Raw genomic sequence first — 19,878 nt, 5'->3', positions numbered from 1 at the left:
ATAGATGCTTATTTCTGCATATATGCTCCTATCAGTACCTTCATTATACAGGGCCTTTTCAAGCCTCCTCACCTGCATAAAGACTTTTTAAATTACTCTCACTTACTCATGATTCTTTAGATACTATCCAGACTTGATTAATATATACTTGAGTTTTGTACTAAAGTTTTTAATTTCTTGGTAACAGACTAGATTTGACTTTACAACTAGATTTCAAGTTTCTTGATAGCACAGAGTATGCCTCTGTATCCTCTAGAGTAACTGAGTTAAGCCTTAAGTATTTGTGTATTTATCATAGTTAGGGATTCAGAAAAGAGCAGTTGCTAGTCAAATAACAGACTAGAAAGTTTATCATTGTCAGCAACAAGTGATCACAACAACAACCAGTATATGATTTCAAGGTAGGACACATCACTAGAGTAACTGAGTTACTCTAGAGGATACAGTTAAGACACTTAGAGTATGTGTAAATGTATTTTAAGTTGATTTTACCAAACGCAGTAAAATCCATATCTTCCAAATTATCCAAAATATTCTCTATTGAGGCTGTGAATCTCTTAAAAGTTGAAGAGTCCATCATTTCTGCAAGAGAGAAAAATATATTCATTATTCTCACATTACAAGTAGACATGTGAAGCTGAAGAATATGAATAAAGACAAATTAAATAAACTAACGTGTTACCTTCAGGTGTTAGTTTTGGTTCATATGCTTTCCTTTTCTTCTGTTTTTCTTTTTTCTTCATTTTCCTAGCAACTAAAACGAACAAAAAGAAGTACTGAAATGCAGGACTGACAACTTAAAATAATTCCATTTTTGTTTCTAGTTTTTTTCCTGAACGTTAAAGACTTAAACGATAATCACTGCACATAGAAACTAAGTATTTTTGTCTTAATTGAAAATTAGTTATTAACTCATAAAAAGATATAAAATATTCTTCAAAGTTAAAGCCCTAAATTTAAATTGGTTTATGTAAGAAATCCGTTGACACTGATGAATTACCCTCACTAAGGCTGGGAGGAGGAGAATAATCTTCCATGTCAGAATCTGACGGACTTCGGTTTCGATAACGACCACCACCTGAACTCCTTCTTCCTTCATGAGAGTGGCCACTTCTCCTATGATCCCCAGAGCTTCTTCTGTCACGCTCTTCATATTCCCAAGCTTTATCATCATCTTTTTTATGTCGTTTCCTAGAGGCTAGAAGCAAATCCCCATGACAAATAATTTACCTCATTTAAAAAGATGATTAAAACTTGTACTTTACAAATGAATCACATGGGGAAAAAAATCTTCATTCCATAGGGTCTAGGAAATTCAGTGATTTTGTCTATCCAGAAGTTTAAGTTATGATATAGAAAAAGTATCACTAATTTTAGCACAATCTACCCAGATTTAAAGATCTTTACATGAACTCAGTGTTTACTGCTAATAAATACAGAGAGGAAGGTTCTTGAAATTAAACTACAGTGTTCACTTCAAGGACAGTTATTCAGTAAGTCAGTAAGGGTTATACCTAAACTTCAAGATTAATTGAGGCTGTAAAACAAACTATATTTAGGAATTAGATGAAAAACAGAACCACCTTAAAGCACTTAGATTACTGATGGGGAGCAGGGTTTGGAGGAAAAGTCAACTTTTGAGAAAGTGTTACAGAATATGGGTAACCATGTACATCATCAATTAATAGCTAAGTTAAACCCACAACTCAGCGATAAATTCCATAAGCCCTGGTGACCTAACATGACAAGCCTACTGAGACAGAAAAAACCTGTACAGTTGTAAATACTCACATAATGAATTCAGTTCTTCAACAAAAGTCTTGCTTAAACCCAAGAAAAGTTTCTAAGCTTATGCACGCTTCATAAGCATGATTATGTATGTTACCTTCAATCTTTTCCCCATCATTTTAGCATTCTGCTAAAATCACCCGTACTGACAGGAGCCTTTAGGCAGACCTGGCAAACAGATTTCATCTAACACATCAACTCTCATCAACTGGCAATAGCTGCCTAGAACATTATGCTGAAAATAACCCCAAGCCCTGAGAAAGCATCATAGTTCAGCAAGAAAGACTGATTAGAAATGTCTGCAGTAAGAGCTGGGGGGCACTATAAGTGACAAATATTTACCATGTCTGTTCTAGGATGCAGTAGGTACCACCAAGTTAAAACCAGGGCAGAGAAGTGATGTGTCCTACCTTGAAATCATATACTGGTTGTTGTTGTGATCACTTGTTGCTGACAATGATAAACTTTCTAGTCTGTTATTTGACTAGCAACTGCTCTTTTCTGAATCCCTAACTATGATAAATACACAAATACTTAAGACAAATGTTTTGCTTAAGTCCCCTACTTGGCTTAGATGTAAGGATGCCAACCTCTGGCCCAGGCACTCTATGCTTGTGCCAGTGTCTTCATGTGTGGGTAATAAATGTCTATACTCTGTCTAATCTTATTCTTAAATGCTACCCTAACTACTCCTGTTCAAGAATCTAGGTTGGTTTCTGGTTCTGGACTCTTCTAGCTAATCTATGGACAACATGGCAGGAAAAGGTCATTTTGTTTCCTCTTCTTTACAGTCACAGGCTTGGATAGCAAAAAGGTTCATGTAAAGCACAAATGTAAATGGATATAAATATCTGAGATTTTCTTCATAATTAGGTATGAATTTGGTTATGACGTATGTGAAGAGTGATAGGACTGTTCCTCTTTTATGATTACAGTATGCTCTAGTACATTCCTTTAGTGACAACTTGTTTCATACACTAATATAAGTAGGGTGTGTGTATGTGTGACAGAGAAACAGGTCATTTCTATATATAATTCCTTAGATGTTTTTTTCACAAGTACTGAAATGCCTACATTACAAGGGATGACAACTAATAAGCAAACTTCTTCAGAAAGCACTATTTTCTTATGTGGGCAGAGAAGGGGTCTTGCTATGTTGCTCAGGCTGGTCTCAAACTCCTGGGCTCAAACAATCCTCCCACCTCGGCCTCCCAAAGTGTTGGTATTACAGGCATGAGCTACTGCGCCAGAAATTAGTATTTTACAACCTTGAATATGACCTGCTTTAGTCTTTGTACATTTTAATTAATTTCATAACAAATCTGTTTCAAGCATTCAATCCTATGAGTAGAAAATGCTTGAAGAATCTTATAGTGGTTTGTAATTACATAGAATATGCTGTATTGGTGGTAACTATCCACAGATCTTGTAAATCTTTATTTCACATTCATCAAATTTTAGACAATTTAGATAAAAATGGGGTGACAAATTAAAAAAAAAACAACTTCCATAACACATTGTGTTATAATGAGGTTATTAGGATACCAACTCATTGTGGTTAGCTTATTCTTTCTCCATTTCTCTCATTACCCTGGAATAAGCAGGGGAGGGGAAAGGACTCAAAAGAGAGGTACGTAAAACATGACTTGGGTGTTCTCTATCTTCTCTTTCCAAATTTCACCTATGTATCTCTTGAGCTTCTTACATCACCCCTCTCTCCATTTTCCCCAGGCACCCAGTGACCTTATATTTGTGCTATGGCCATCCAAATCTGTGTACCCCAACTTTCAAAATTATCCTTCAACATTTTCCCCTAACCTTCAACAAAACTATTTCCTTGGTTTTAGATTTTGAGAAACCAATTTGATTAAACTGCTAAGTTTCAAAAATTTTTTTTTCTCTCTCTCAGCAGCATAATGCTTGCAACTTAACGTTCTCATAATAGTTTCACATTTTGTATTGTGCTATATTTTCAATACACTGTTTCTGTTGTGGTGTGACCATTTGGTTGTTTATGTGAACAATCATTTGGACTTCTTTCACCATTCAAATCGGTGCCTCCAGTGTCCACTTTTCTATAGTTACTTGTATAGAAATAAGTGAAGAAAAACAGGAAGCTACTCCTGACATCTCTTTAAAAATCCAGAGAAACTTTCCTTTCTTCTAGCAGTGTGTGAAGCTTAGGTTCTTTAAAATAAATATTACCTTTCGATATAGTTGGGCATAGATATAACAGGGTCCATGGCTTTATAACGAAGCTATGTGCCTCCATAAGATGAGACAATAGCTTTCATGATAGAAAGCAAGGGGAAAAGAATGGTGGCTGCATTGGTGACAAACATGAGGGATGTGTGGCTCTACTCTCCACTATTTTACACTTGGTGGAAATTTTTGATTATGTTATCCTTTCCACTTAACTGTGAGACAGCTTCAGAAATCTTTGCAATTTAGTAATGGAGGCAGTCACTTTCAGTCAACTGGATTTGAAATGTCATTTGAAATCAAACTGGAATTCAGGGACTCCTCCTTCTCGGCTGTTCTAGATATGGGTGATATGTTTATTAGAGGGAAAGAGGCAGAGTGGTAAGGCATGTATATTAAAGGGAATGAGTTCCTGGGCCCCATGTTTCTTTTATCTTCTCATCTTCCAGAGCTAACCACGTCCCCATATGACCAAAATATCTGATTGTAATAAAAAAAATTAACTTTAGCCATTTTAATATACTGTGTGTCAATACATTTCATAATACAATTATAACAATTATACATGATTAAATGTTAAGTTTGCTGTATATTTTATTTCAATTTTAAAACTTTTTTCAGATTTGTTCAGTATTCATAGTCTACTGCTCATAGCTCAAGAGCTCACAATTAAAAAAAAATCAGTAAATTAACATTAAAAACTTTGGAGGAGGTGAAGGGCTTCCATCAGCAATATACATTTAAAAATGGCAGCATGCATCTGTCCTTCCTGCCCTTGCTTGTCACACCTCAATCTATGGACACTAGGTGGAAAAAGTAGAACACTGGTGGTCTTCCCACTTCTTTTGGTCATTATGACTAAGTCAGTTGGCACACAAGTGAAGATCTCCCATAGTCTGTTTCCACTGAATGCCGTTTAAGTCAAACAAGGTTGCTGACCCCTCTTGGCTAGGCTCAATTCTCTTGCTCCAGAAGAAGGAAGATAGGGATAAAAGAGAAGAACTTTTTCAGTGGACCAGTAGGAAGACAGGCGAGGTATAGCAAGTCTAGTGCAAAGACAGGTGATCACAGTGTTGTAGAGAGGTAGCTGTGTAGTGAAGAAGCCAGCTCTGGAAAACAGTGAAACAAGGGAGGAATTCCAGGACACAGCTGGGCAAAAAGGAGAAGCCAGGTCCAAACCACACAGATAATCTGCAATGTGGCTAATCCATTCATAATTTAGTGATAGTATGGTTTTAAATATTTCTTCATCTGGCTATCTCCTACGTGTCCTTCAAGACTCAACTCAAGTGTCACCTCTTCCAGTAAGCATTCCCTGAGCCCCCACTCTGATTTTGATGCCAATCCAATGTGTTCCCATAGCACCCTGGATTTACTGTTATCATTGTACTTTTATCAGCATACTGCAATTATTTATTTACATATTTCCCCCATTAGACTGAAGGCTCTTTGAAGACAGGGGCCATATCTTATTTGCATTTTTACTCTCAGTGTCTAGCATATAATAGGAGCTCAATAAATGTTTGCTGAATGCATACAGACACATACCTACCTGTGTTTTAAAATTAATTGTAGCTTATTTAATATTTTTTTCTTGGTGCCAACTGATCTCATCTTTCACGCATTTTTAAAGTATAGAGAAAAAAACTTACTATACTGTGTTATTAAGAATTAAGGTGACTGTGCTTTTGCTAAACCCCCAAATTATAAATGAGAAAAACACATCAACCTGCTTTTAAACTCTAAAATAATAACAAAGAGTTCTGTGATACTTACATTCAAAAGCTTCATCACTATCATTATCTTCATCTGAACTGATTTCAGCATATTTTGGCTTTTCATTAACTGTGCTACGCTTGCGTTTGTTCATTTTCACACGTTCACAAAGTGGCATGGTGGACTCAATTTCTGCCAGGAGTTCAGGGGGTAATTCTTTTAACACTGATTGATCTATACTACCTATTAATGAAAGGTAAATTTAAAAAAAAAATGTAAATCTGAAGATAAAAGGAAAATTTTAACTAAGTTAGCATAATAAAAATATTAGTATTTGTTTTCTAAATCAACTGTTTATTTTAATAAAACACAACTATAATACTCTTAACCCTAAAGTGACAATATAGTTAATATATATGTATGTGTACATATATACATATAATTATGTAATGACTTTAAAAACATGACACCACCATAAAAATGAAGGGTAATTATATAATACATTTTTGATATAATGCCTTCAATTTGCACTGACTAAAAACTTTCTGAAACTAGAGATTCACTGACATTAGCAAGTGGATTTGTGGTAAGAGGTACACTTGACATTCTTGGTAGTACATAAATTTTGTTTTGTGTAGGTCTGAAGTAGTTTGAATCTAATGTTACCCCTCAATACAAGTGAGAAGTGTTGGAAGACACTTACCACTCCTCCTCCTTCTCTATGATCTTGGCAGTTGTGTATGGTGGCTGAGACAAGAGCTATACATATGCTTTTACCTATTACTGTCTATTTGAGGGCATGGTAATGCCTTTAGCATTACGGAGAACTTCTTCAAACAGACAAATCAATATATACAATTTAACTGAAGACGAGAGAAACATGTAACACAGGATAAATAGATGACAAATCTTTTAAAATATAAATGTCTGTAACTGAAAAGTACATTTCAAGTTAGAAATTCAAGTTCATATCTTCCCACAAGAGTCAAGGCAATAAAAAAGAAGACAAGACAATAAGAGCCATTATACTACTTAATCCTACACACATACACACAAACACATACACAAATAGTTCTTATGAAGAAATAAACTGGGACTATCTTCCTGATAGTTTAAAAAATAAAGTAGAAGTAGCAAAAGCTACTTATTCGGATAATTTGTCCTTAATGATTACTAAAGATGGCAATTTTAGCTTCCTTTACTTACTTTGAGTGGAAGTATAAAAAGAAAAATCTTACCTGATAAATTTTATGAATTGGAAGCAAAGAGTACCTTTGTGGTTTATAGCAGGAAATATTAGTAACTTACAATCAACATTAACACTATCCTTTATAACATGCAAATGATAATAGTGCTTACGTAAAGAATAAAAATCATGACAGAAAAGTAAATAGCTATCAAGAATATTAAGACGATACAATCAAATAACTCAAGATGGAGATATAAAATATTAATCTTAATGAAAGAATAACCCTTTTTTTATTCTTCTGAAACTTTTATTCAGTATCACAAAGGAGTTATTTCAGTAACTTTTAGGCTTCTGTTCTTCTAAGGACATGCATAGGAACAATTTTACCCAACAAACATGAAATACTCATGACTGGTAATATCCCAAAGACTTCATTGCTAAGAATTCTAACTAACGTTGAGTTTAACTTCTGTGTCATTTTGAAATCAGGTAATATTTCTCTGTATTGGCTTTCTTAATTTAACTAGTTAAGTTTTATCAGTGAGGGCCCTCTTTTTTAGAATACTGGTAGAAGTAAAAGAAGTCAACTTTAGCTTTGCATTGCATATTTTCAGCCCCAAACTGAACACGTTCTGCACCTCACTATAAAGTCTTTGAATATCTCTACTTTAATATGTGTCTTTTTGATGGAAAATCATGTTTTAGAGTATACATCTTCCCTTTTCCACATGACCTACATAATATTGAGTACATATATATGGATAGTCAATAGATGCTTCTTGATTGCCTAACTCTGGTTCACAATTTCTCATGTCCACTTACAGATGTACTTCCTGGATAGTTCCTGAGTTGCTGTATTTGATAGACAAATGAGTACATTTCCAAAATTTCTAAGAATACAAATTTTTTTTTTTGCAGTATATTGGAAACATTATAATCTTCATAGGTTTATAAATACAGATAACCCAAAGTATTTGGCCTTTCATCCATCACGGGATTTTTTTTTTTAAAGCAAATGTACCTAAGTGTTTTGCTTAGATTAAGTTCACATCACAGACACACTGACTCAACACTAATATCCCAGAATTAATATTTTCCTTGTTAATTAACACAATAATCAAAGGTTAAAATATGTACTAGTTCTTGTGCTCTCTCTGCAATGGATTATGTTCCCAGAGCAAGGACTCTGCTCCTTCTTTTTAAAAAAATTACTCACAATAGCCAAACACAGATAACCTATGCCTTATATCCAATAAAGCAGGTATCAACATTTATCAACAGTAGTTTACCCTTTCTTATTCCCTACATTAACAAGAATACTATCAATTAAGACCTCTCTAGTATCCTCTAGATCATTTTAACTTCTGTAAAACTTTGAAAGTTTAAACAATGTAATTCAAAGGCCAAATGTTTTATTTCTGAAGGTGCTCCAACTTTAAAGAAAAAAAATCCAGGAATCAATGTCTCTACATGTATCATCCTCCAAAAGTGAACGCTGTTTCATTTTGAACAGAATTGTCTATTCCACAGGTTTCACACATTTTCTGAATTAACCACATCCTTTCTTCCATTTCATGAAGCTCTTTATAAATGGACTCCGCCAGGTTGCTTGATTACAAAGATAAGAAATAAAGGGGCCAGGCGTAGTGGCTCACACCTGTAATCCCAGCACTTTGGGAGGCCGAGGTGGGTGGATCACGAGGTCAGGAGATCGAGACCATCCTGGCTAACACAGTGAAACCCCGTCTCTACTAAAAATACAAAAATTAGCCAGGCATGGTGGCGGGTGCCTGTAGTCCCAGCTACTCGGGAGGCTGAGGCAGGAGAATGGCATGAGCCCGGAAGGCGGAGTCTGCAGTGAGCCAAGATCACGCCACTGCACTCCAGCCTGGGCAACACAGCGAGACTCCATCTCAATAAATAAATAAATAAATAAATAAATAAATAAATAAATAAATAAATAAAATGCATGACTTTCCCATATTCAGGCCTGAGATCTTCAATATGACATCAAGGATCTGGATAACTCAGCCATTTGGAGGCTGAGATGGGAGGATCATTTCAGCTCAGGAGTTCCAGGTTGCAGTGAGCTATATTAGCACCACCGTACTTCAGCCTGGGTAAGAGAATGAGACCCTGTCTTTAAAAAAACAAAAGGATCCTGATCTGGATAACTAACTCAGTTTAACAGAAATGAATAAACAGCAAGTACTTAAAATTATCTGTATGACATAATTGGTTATGTTATTTCCCCTGAATTAGTTAATAATCCATTAAATGCAAACATAAAGTCTTGCTATCTCTTAGTATATGATGATGTATTTTAGGGATTGATGATTTTAGGGATTATTGTTGCTTGCCAAGTTATTTGTTCCTAAAACTTCAGATTACTAGTGCTTTATGATTATCTCTCACCTAATTTCTTTTGTCCTAACTACTTTATTCTTTAAATCAGCATGTCTGAATTCCCATAAAACTTTATGTTACTGGCTTGATGAATAATGTCATTTAGTCACAATTTTGTGAGATATCAAATTTTCAGCTTCTGTACATATATTCCATTAGATACAGTGCACTCTATACTCTGGCTTTAATATGGCTAAAGAATACATTTACTCCTAGATATGCTACATTTAAGCAATCTTTGATTTCCATTATAAATCACTCAAATTAGCACTTGCCAGATTATTAAAACCAGAAATCATCAAAAAACTTAAAAGAATCATTGATTTGATAACTAACAATGTGTTCTGTTTTCTTTTTAAAACAGGAAAACAACTCTGAGATAGAAATAAATCACGTAAACTAATAAAATCTTTGGGACTGAAGTGAAGCTTTGGTCAATGGAAACAAGTCACGTTCAGAAACAAAACTAAGAGCCTCACATAAACCTCCAAATTTTATAAATCCTAAAAAAAAAAAAAAAAAAACTTGGGCAGGCATAATGGAATAGTTCAGTGACAATTCTTCCACTAACCTACCCATATAACACAGAAGCACCAAATGGATCTTCAACTTCAATTAGAGGTAAGTGGGGGCAAAAAAAAATTTTCAATACTGCATGTAAATGACAATTTACTACTCATTATGTAAGTAACAACTTACTACTCATTACAGAAAAGTAGGGGGCAGGGATCAAATGATTCTTTCCTTGATATGTATACACGGTGAGAAAAATAAATTGTGGCAGTAATATCTTTAAATCTACACTGAATATAAAGTACAGATACATAAAAAGATTTATTTTAAAAAATTACTTTCTTCATTAGATAAATTCAATTCAATTAGAAATTGAATGACTGTACTTTCCTTTATATAAAAAAATCAGACATACTTTAGCTTTTACTATAACAACATTCATTTTTGTCTTTATAACTGTATAAAGTAGGAGGGAAATTGGTTTCTTTATTTTAAAAGCGAATGAACCAAGCTTTGAAAGGTTAAGGCTTATTCAGGGTTTTGATATTAGTTCTCTTTGTACTATAATTTGTAATAAGTTTAAAAGAGAATTTTTAAAAATTGATACATTACAGCCAGAAAACGCTAATATTTTTATAGGCAAGACAGAGAGATCCATATTAAAAAACCCATTTTATTGGTGGTGTAATACTAGTAGGTATTCATACTCTTAATTTCACATCAGGCCCTTGTAAAGAAGGGTTTCATTAAATTTTTTTTTTTTAGAATATAAAAGGGAATTTAGCATGTCAAAGATTATTTCTTCATAAATAGGCACAGGGTCTTACAGAATTAATATTTGCTAGCTCCTTAGCTGTTAAATCATATACCTATTTCTACAGACACAAGAACCCTATAGAAACTATGTCTTTGGGCTGGCTTAAGAGACAGAATGGAAAGGAGAGAGAATACCTCCAGCAAACTTTAGTTTTTATAAAAAGGTTTCTACTTAATGCATTTCTTTTAAGCAATATTTGTATGAACAATCTATTAAGCATACTTTGGAAAATTTCTACAAATGGAAATCATGAGTACAAATTTTCAAAATACTGCTCTAAAGTCACAAGAGCTAGATACAGATTATGCCAACTTCTGTAATAAACTTTCTCCAAACATTTCCTAAAGATATCACTGATATCAATCTTTACAGAAACTGAAAATTTGAGTTTTTAAGAAAGGTATTTTATAAAACTGTACAAATGAAACAAAATAAATTTCCACTGCATCATTAAATATTATTCAATATTACAATCTACTTTAAAGAAAACACCGAAAATTCCTCATTTAGGAATTAATAAACTGTGCTATAAATTCACTCTCAGAAACAATACTTTCAGACTTGCAGAAGCTGAGGATCCTAAACACCATCTAACTAGACTGGTTCAGTGCTAAGTAAAAGGCAACCAGCTGATGATAGTTATCAGCATTTAGTAGTGTAACTGTAACAGTAGATAACTGAAGTGCGATCACTGTCGCTAGTAAGGCCTGCAATCATTAGCTCATCAAGTGAGCAATATAGGCTAATCGCTATTGACTATTAAAGCTGCTAGATACATTCCCAGTGAAGACTACTTTCAGAAACTGCTTTACTCTTCAGTTTAAAGGATGATGTCAAATAACAAATAATACGGATATTTCTTGAAAGCACTGAGTCCACACAATGGAGAATGATATACTAGTTGGAAAGAAGTAGGGGGAGAGAGAAGAAAAAATGGTTTCCTTAGACATAAAGCAAAGATATTTTGAGACACTCTGGAGTTAAAAAAAAAAACAACAAAATCAAATATGTTTGTAATTACTGATAATAAGCTGTTAATAACACTGAAGGCATGTGTTAGTTGATGATTATGCCAATTTTTTTTTTTTTTTTTTTTTTTTGGAGACAGAGTCTCGCTCTGTCACCCAGGCTGGAGTGCAGTGGCACAATCTCAGCTCACTGTAATCTCCTCCTCCTGGGTTCAAGCGATTCTCCTGCTTCAGCCTCCTGAGTAGCTGGGGCTACCAAGTGCCTGCCACAGTGCCTAACTAATTTTTGTATTTTTAGTAGAGGTGGGGTTTCACCATGTTGGCCAGGCTGGTCTCTAACTCTTGACCTCAAATGATCCACCCACCTTGGCCTCCCAAAATGCTGGGAGATTATGCCAATCTTAAAGGATCTCATAACTTTATTATTTTAATTTAGAGACACTATACATTAGGGTAATAGTCTAATAAAATTTTTAACAACATATTTTTTGGCATGTAACATACTGATTGAAGTATATTTTAGTAGAAGATATTTGAAGAACTTAAAAAGAATTCTACAAACAGTTACACTGCCTGACTGCCCCCTCCACCCCTCCCAGGCAAGGAATAAACATGGTGATGGAAAGATAGGGAAGTTAACAATGCAGGATAAGAATGGGAATAATATTAATCCCAGTATAGATCAAAATAAGTGTGACAGAAAAATTAAACACATATTACTATAAGCAGGTTTTCTTTGGATCTTAACAAAAAAACTAGGTAGTTGACAGGGTGAAGAGTTATTAACAATGTTTAGGAAGCAGGATTTGAAAAATAAGTAGCTCTTGAGCTAGGGTGTATTGATGGGAACATAAAAGACGATTATCTAATTTTAATCTGTACACAAAAGCTTTTCCTGAAAATGGTGGCAACATCATCTCCATTCAATAGGCATTAAATATGATTTATTATGTATGAAGTATTTTGTTAGGTACTAGGGATACAGATATAGTGCCACAGAAATCAAATCAAATGTAACAATGCCACTTTACATTTATCATGCTCATACAAAAGACAAAAATAAGTAATCTAAATTAGGAGTAATAAATCTATACCTCTATCACACAATCAAAATTTATCAGCTTAAAATATATCCTAAAGAATGAATATTTTCTATATGAACATCAGGTAAAATATTTAAAAGATGGAAATTTATGGCTCTTCAATTTTGGCCCTAGGAACCAACCATACAAGTATCCCAGCAGTATTCAGACTAACTCCTTTACTCAGAAAATCATCAACACATCAAAATGTGATTTTCTGTGAATCTCCAAAGAAAATCCCAGTATATACTACAAAGGGTCAGTAATCTACAACTGTGCTTCATATACATGCAATTTTAAAAAATCCACAATTACCCAACTCTGCTATTTAAACTGAGTAGCAAAAATCTAAAACAAAACCAAAATTGGATCATTACTAAAAAAAAAAGATATGGATCCTAAGACATAAATAAATTAATCCAAAAGATAGCTACACGGCATCCTGAAATGCATCTAAGCACTGACATAGTATTTTTTGATGAAAAGGACTGTTACTGTAATTGCAGTTACATTAATATATGTGTATATATACACAAACATGCACATGTACACATACACACACATCACTCTAATAGGCAGACACCCAGATAGCTTACTTACATACTAACATGACCATATCAGGTATATACATCTGCATTAAAAGTATACTATCAGAAACGCATTTTGGTGCTAAAAACATATTCATAGGCAATATTATTGCATGTGAAAAACCCAGGTGAAATAATATACCAATTACTAACTAAAAGCTATATTCACTTCTGGATGTTCTTTAAGGAGTTTTAAAAGACTCTTTGTTAGAACAGAGTTTAGAAAGCAAGGCTAGGGTAAGCTGAGAGGGGAGGGAGAGAAAGATGGTCCAGATCAAAGGAACAAGAGGGTACCACTTTCCATCTTTCACCTGACTCTTCTAAAATTGTATAGCCATACTCTTTAGTTTATAAATATAAGCTACTCCCAAACTTTCACTAAAAAATTTTAAAGAAAATTTTTACCTAAAAGAAAACAATTGTGGTGTTAACCCCCACATTCTACAACCTCTTTTATATTAACAAGTAACTCTGAAAAGATGCATTCAAGTTAAATAAAAAAGCCTACTTATTAATTAAGGCTGATGTCTTAACTGACTTTTGGTAAGTCTAATTGCCATAATTTAAAATTTAAAAGCTTCACTCAAAGAACACAAATATTAGCGACTCAGAAGGCAATCTTTTTTCATTATTGTAAGACAAAAGGAAATAAATTAACAGTGAAAAAATGAATGTTGACGAAGACCAAGCAAGAATAACAACAGATTAGCCACAAGTCATTCTTTGAATAAAGAGTTCTTTATAATATGTTTTCAAAGAGCTTTCTTGGTAGACAAGCTACAACAGCATGTTATGAAAAACAATAACCACACACTTTTTGTATCTCCTAATACACTGCAGTGCTATACAACTTTGTGATGATGCAAATGTTCTGTTTTGTCCAATATGGTAGCCAACAGCCACATGTGACTACTAATGAAATGAACTTCCAATTTTAGTTAACTTAAATTTAAATAGCCAAAAAAGGCAATGGTTACCCTCTTGGCCAATGCAATTCCAGATTTCATATACTTGGTTATATATAAGTATAAATCTAAATTCTTAATAATTCTCTTTCACAGAAGGAAAACTTAAATAAACTCTCAGTTCTATTGCCTTCACTACACCTCAGTATATTTAGACTGTATGGACACGGTGGCTCACGCCTGTAATCCCAGCACTTTGGGAGGCTGAGAGGAGAGGATCACTTGAGGCCAGGAGTTCGAAACCAGCCTGGTCAACAAAGCAAGACCCCATCTCTATTTAAAAATAAAAAAAGTTATTTTAAATACTTGTGTACAAAGGGATACAGAAGTATATCTTCTGCACAAATGGCCATTATCTTTTGGCACTTAAGACATTCTTCTCCCTTTGGAAATAATTTTACTCAAGTAACCAGAGAATTCAGAAACCATGCAAAAATAACACCAGTCCCCCGCCTCCCACAAACTTACAATTTAACCAAATTTAAAAAGTAAGTACCATTCCCTATTACCTTTGCATAAACAAGGACAAAAAGATATGTTTTAAAAATATAAAACATATTTAACTAACCATCTCCCCAACAAAATGAAAAATAACCTTTTATATAACTTTCTAAACTATACAAATTATTCATCAATAATTGGCTCAGACACAGGTCTGTAAGAATGTAGTATTGTAAGACATTTTTAAATAGAGAGTTTTTAAAGACAGCTATTTTAATACAACATTCACTTAAGCATATTTCAGAAATATAAGAAATAACTAAACAGCAAAATAACTTATCTCTGTGTAACCAAATAGCAGTAACATTCATAACTACCTTGAGTAGTGGGTGGGAAGAAAAAAACTGTGGGGAAAAAAAAATTCACTGGAAACTTTTTATCTATACTCCTGAAAAAAATTTCCTGTTGTTTGACATAAATGTTATATTTTCATGTAGTAGCTTTCTAATTTTTGTAAATTTCCTTTTTAAAACTTAGTAATCTTAACACTTAAAATCGATTATATTATAAATGACATCAGTAGAAGTATTCTTACCTTTATTTGACTTTGATGGTTTATTCTTGATAGGTTTAAGGGAACTTCTTGATTTGTCCTCTCTATCTTTAATAAGTTTCTGAACATCATCCAAAGACAGTTTTTGTAGCACAACTACAGGCTTAGCTCCTTTATTTAGATCTTCAACTAATCCTATTTTTTCTACTTTGTCTTTCGGCTCTCCTTTCATTTCCATTTTCTTTGTCTCCTGAGTAACATTGCCATCTTTATCCCTCTTGATTTTCGGAATGACAAAATTTTTCAACGCACCAGACCTGCCCCCCAACAAATAACTTGGAAATTCTGCCTTATTGTCAGGGTGTGCTTTATTAGTGTCTACTTTACTCTTGTTACCCTCTGTCCTTTTGTCATCTTTACTAGTTGGTGATTTAAAACCAAGTTTATCAGATCTTGATTTATTAGAATCTCCTTGTTTAACACGAGGACTGTCAGGTCTTGATTTTTGTTCCCCAGAAGATGGTCTTTCCCTTGAGTCCCCTGATTCATGCCTGTGTTTTCGTTCTAGTTTATCAGTTTTTGAACTATCAGATTTAATGCCATGTTCATTTCTACTAGAGGATCTCAATGTTTCTGGTCTTCGAACCCTAGACTGATCCCCTCGATGTCGCTCTGATTCACCCCTGTCATCTGATTTTTGTTTATTATCATGGTCACGTCTTAGTGACTCAGAAACAGATCGCCCATCAGGTCTCTGCTTTAAGGCTTCAGCTCGTTCTGATTTTAACCGAGGTGAGTCAGATTTAGTATCTTGTTTATGTTTAGACACTTCAGGTTTTTTCTCTGTAGATGGCTTTCCAGAATCCCTCCTATTGTCATGCCTGTGTTTTGGTGTTTCAGGTCGCCCTTCATTTTTTTGCTTTGGAGTTTCAGGGCGGCTCTCACCTTTTTGCTTTGGAGTTTCAGGCCTTCCATCACCCTTCTGTTTTGGGGTTTCAGGATGCCCATCACTCTTTTGTTTTGGAGTCTCAGGCCGGCTTTCACCCTTTTGCTTTGGGGTTTCAGGCCTTGATTTTGTTGTTTCTGATCTGCCATTATTTTGTTTGTTGTCATTTGGTTTTGTGTCAGACAGTCTATTTTCATTTTGTTTAGGCTCAACTATGGTGCTCTCGTTTTGTTTGCATTCAGTTGTTCTGCTCTCATTCTGTTTAAGTTCTTCTGTTTGGGTCTCAACTTTAGTTTCTAACTTATTTTCACTTGATTTTGTCTCCACCAATCGGTTTTCATTTGGTTTAGATTCTGCTAATCTACTTTCACTTTGTTTCATTTCACTCTTTGAAAGCTCAGGATCAGACTTTTTTTTAGGTGTCTCAGGATGGTTTTCTGGTGTAGATTTAAGACTTCCAACAATATCTTCCTGAAGAACAGAAACAGGTGCATCATTACATTGTTTGATTTCTTCAGGCTTTTTTATGGAGTCTGAATCCTGAGTTATAGAAGCCTGAGAGTCCACTCTTCCTGCCTGATGAAGATCAATGCTAACCATTAATGCTGGCCTTGACCCATTTCCCGTAGAACCCGTCTCCTGAGAAGCTGGTCTATTACCTCCTGTAGCACCCCCAGCCTCCTGTGGGTAAGAATCTTGTTTTCTTTTTTTCAAAGGCTTATCTGAAATTTAAAGATAAATATCAATATCAGTAATAGACATGTATTCTTATCTTATTAAAAACCCTATGGACGTTGTTTATCTTTTTAAGGTTATGTTTTTAAAATGGAGTAAAATGCAAATGCAAATATGTACACATAAAATAGTAAGCATGAATGACACAATACTTTGAAAGGTAAGGTTTGAAGAAATATGCTTGAGAGATCTCAATAAATATAGTAAAAAGAATTTAACTGCATACTCTTTAAGGATATAAATAAGTGTAAGAATATAAAATGAATAGAACTTATAATGTACCAAATACAAACATATATTTATGTTCATAGATGTCACGGATAAATCAGATTCTTTTCCTAATAATAAAGCAACCAGTTACAAATCATAAAGTCTCACTCAGGTTACTTTTAACTGTTAGCCAAAAACCATAAAGAGCTCCAAATCTGCCAATATACCAAACAGGAAATATAAGTTTTTACTGTATCTAAGATAAGTATGGAAAAAAAAGAAAGAAAATATATACCATGCCATTGGGAAAAAATGAATTTAAAAAAAGAATTTAATAATTTGTCATTTAACTTTAATCAATAATTCAAATTCTTTGAAGTGTTAAAAGTGTGAAAGGAGTTTAAAAGTTAACCACAATGTTAGATAGAAGTAAATTTAAAATAAGGAAGCAACAGATTTCATAGGTATAGAAAATTTAAAATCAGGGAGCAATAGGTATAAATTAGAATCCTGTCTTAAGCAACTTCCACTGAAGGAAACAGTTCCTACTCTTCGATATAAAGTTATAATGTTCTGGGATCCATTCTGGTCTCAGAAAGAAATAATTTACAGTATTATGAAATGTAAAGACAAACACACACACAAACACAAATTCACCATTACAATAAAATGTGAAGGTATTTTTAACATCTATATATTTCTGTGTATGATTCCATTTCTGACTTAAGAGGGAGCTAGTCATTTTCTATAAATTAAATCTCCAGTTAGGTCTTGGGAATGGTTACATTATAGCACCTTGAGGTTTGGCTTCCTTTTGTTTATTTGCTGAATTGCTTGAGTATGTTTTAAAAGTCACTGTTATTTATTTTAACAAGGCAATCTCTAGATTCTCTTGCAATATTCACTAATGTGATATATCATATAAGGAAGATGGTATCACAAGGTTAAAAGTCAAACTGACAACTGAAAAATGGCTCCTTATTGTTAGAGAACCAAGTTGTGATTTTTTTTTCCTAATGGTAATGCTTCTTCTATATAGCAAAGTTCCACTGTTTTCTTTTTAAAGTGGGAAGTAGCAGTTCTTGCCAGTTTAAAATCTAATCAAATATAACCGCAATTTACTTAAGATATTTGTTAGTTATATTTTGTAAAACTAAGTCCTTCTGCTCCTTCAGTTGTCCAGTCAAATCTATCACCACACATGCTCCATTTGCAAAACACTACCATTTTAATTCTAAAGTATAATATATTATCATTAGATTGTTTCCACCAGTTAAAACTAACATGGTAAGAATTTATAGGAAGTTTTCTACATCAATACCTTAAAAAAGAAATCAGAATACTAAATTTATGTTTATAGAATCCTCTTTTAGAATGTTCTGCCATTCAAAAATCATCTTTATGTTCTGCCACAGGGCAAACCAATTGATATCTCATGAATAAGATGCTTTATCAATTTATGCTTATCCCTTAAACTTTTATAAGACTCTAGAAATTCAAAAAATATAACCTAAGATTTCTATATTTTTGAGGAAATATGCTTTGTAAAAATAATTAAAATGGTAGACTAATCAATCATACTTAAGATACACAACGACATAGGTCTCAGGCATCTGAAGATTTAAGATATCTATGGCTGACTCTTTTATGCACAGTCTTCAGAAAAACATTAACATAGCTTAGAGGGCTGATTTTTAAAGGATTACAAAATACTCAAGAGTTTATATATTATTAACCTCAATCCAATTTACGTAAAGACATTAAAATGAAAATTTAGCAAATACAGTAAGTTAATTTCAAAGAAATGATATATTTTATTTAAACTATGAATCCTATGATTATTTATAATAAAAAATGTATGAAAGTATTTGCACACAAGTAATTAAGATTGGGAAACATCTTACCATTGTTTTTCAGTATATACAAAATGCTGTTAAATACAAAATTTTAATCGTTCAACTACTGAAAAGTACTTTACTCCTGTAAAACCTGGAAAATTTTCATTACTGTGACAAGGATTCTTAGGTATGTCAAGAGCATGTATGTTCTGATTCACTTGGTCTGATTCAATTCCACCATGAACTTACTCCTTATAAAGCAGCTCTGAATCTGTACAGGTCACTTTTGTCCACCCACTTTTGTTATGAGTCTTCATTACATCATAACCACCTAATAATCATGGAAAGCCATCTCTATGAAGAATCATTTTGGTATTTAGGACAGTGATTACCTGTAAGCCCTCTTCAGCACTGGGAACCATAAGATTAGCTATCAGAATACATATATTCCTAAAGAAAATGCATACAAAAGGATTATCATAATCTCAAAACCAACACTTGTCATCCAGATGCTGATATTCTCAAAATAAGATGCAGCCCTTACAGAAATTCTAAACTCAATTACGCTTACAAGAAAAACAAACTATACCACTTACTTAAATCTACAAGTGATAAATGAAAACACTTAAAGCAGAAAGCACAATAATTGTGTATACATGGTAGCCAATTATGTAAAATGAAAACACACCACCCCTCAACCACAATACAGGCTGAGTGGCTAATTGTCCTATTCCTTGTACCAAAATCCCGGTCTCTTATTCCAAATGACAGTAGGTAATCATTGACTTTTAACAAGGGCTATAGTGCAAGAATATTGTAACATTATAAAAACATTAGTGAAGCTGAGCCATTCCTTATACTTGCTAACATGGAAAGTGGACCTTGGGAAAAGATGAAATAGGCAAAGATGAACAAAGGAACC

At 33.7% G+C, this 19,878-nt stretch overlaps 1 protein-coding gene across 8 annotated transcripts in view; it reads right to left on the bottom strand.

Annotated features, from left to right (window-relative positions):
* NIPBL (NIPBL cohesin loading factor) overlaps positions 1 to 19,878 on the bottom strand; it is a 189,645-nt gene that overhangs the window by 64,843 nt on the left and 104,924 nt on the right. For 7 of the 8 annotated variants that reach the window (NM_001438586.1, NM_133433.4, XM_017009329.2 and 4 more), the window contains 5 exons: positions 15,270 to 16,895; positions 5,767 to 5,949; positions 1,001 to 1,198; positions 683 to 754; positions 493 to 582 (listed from right to left, as the gene is read on the bottom strand). In NM_001438586.1, the coding sequence (NP_001425515.1) occupies positions 493 to 582; positions 683 to 754; positions 1,001 to 1,198; positions 5,767 to 5,949; positions 15,270 to 16,895 (2,169 nt within the window). The remainder of the gene's footprint in view (positions 1 to 492; positions 583 to 682; positions 755 to 1,000; positions 1,199 to 5,766; positions 5,950 to 15,269; positions 16,896 to 19,878) is intronic. The other variant, XM_006714468.3, reaches the window with a different exon arrangement.

Source organism: Homo sapiens, chromosome 5 (genome assembly GCF_000001405.40).
Source record: "Homo sapiens chromosome 5, GRCh38.p14 Primary Assembly".
Lineage (NCBI taxonomy): Eukaryota > Metazoa > Chordata > Mammalia > Primates > Hominidae > Homo > Homo sapiens.
The sequence above is the reverse complement of the archived record's forward strand: the minus strand, read 5'-3'. Positions and strand labels throughout refer to the sequence as shown.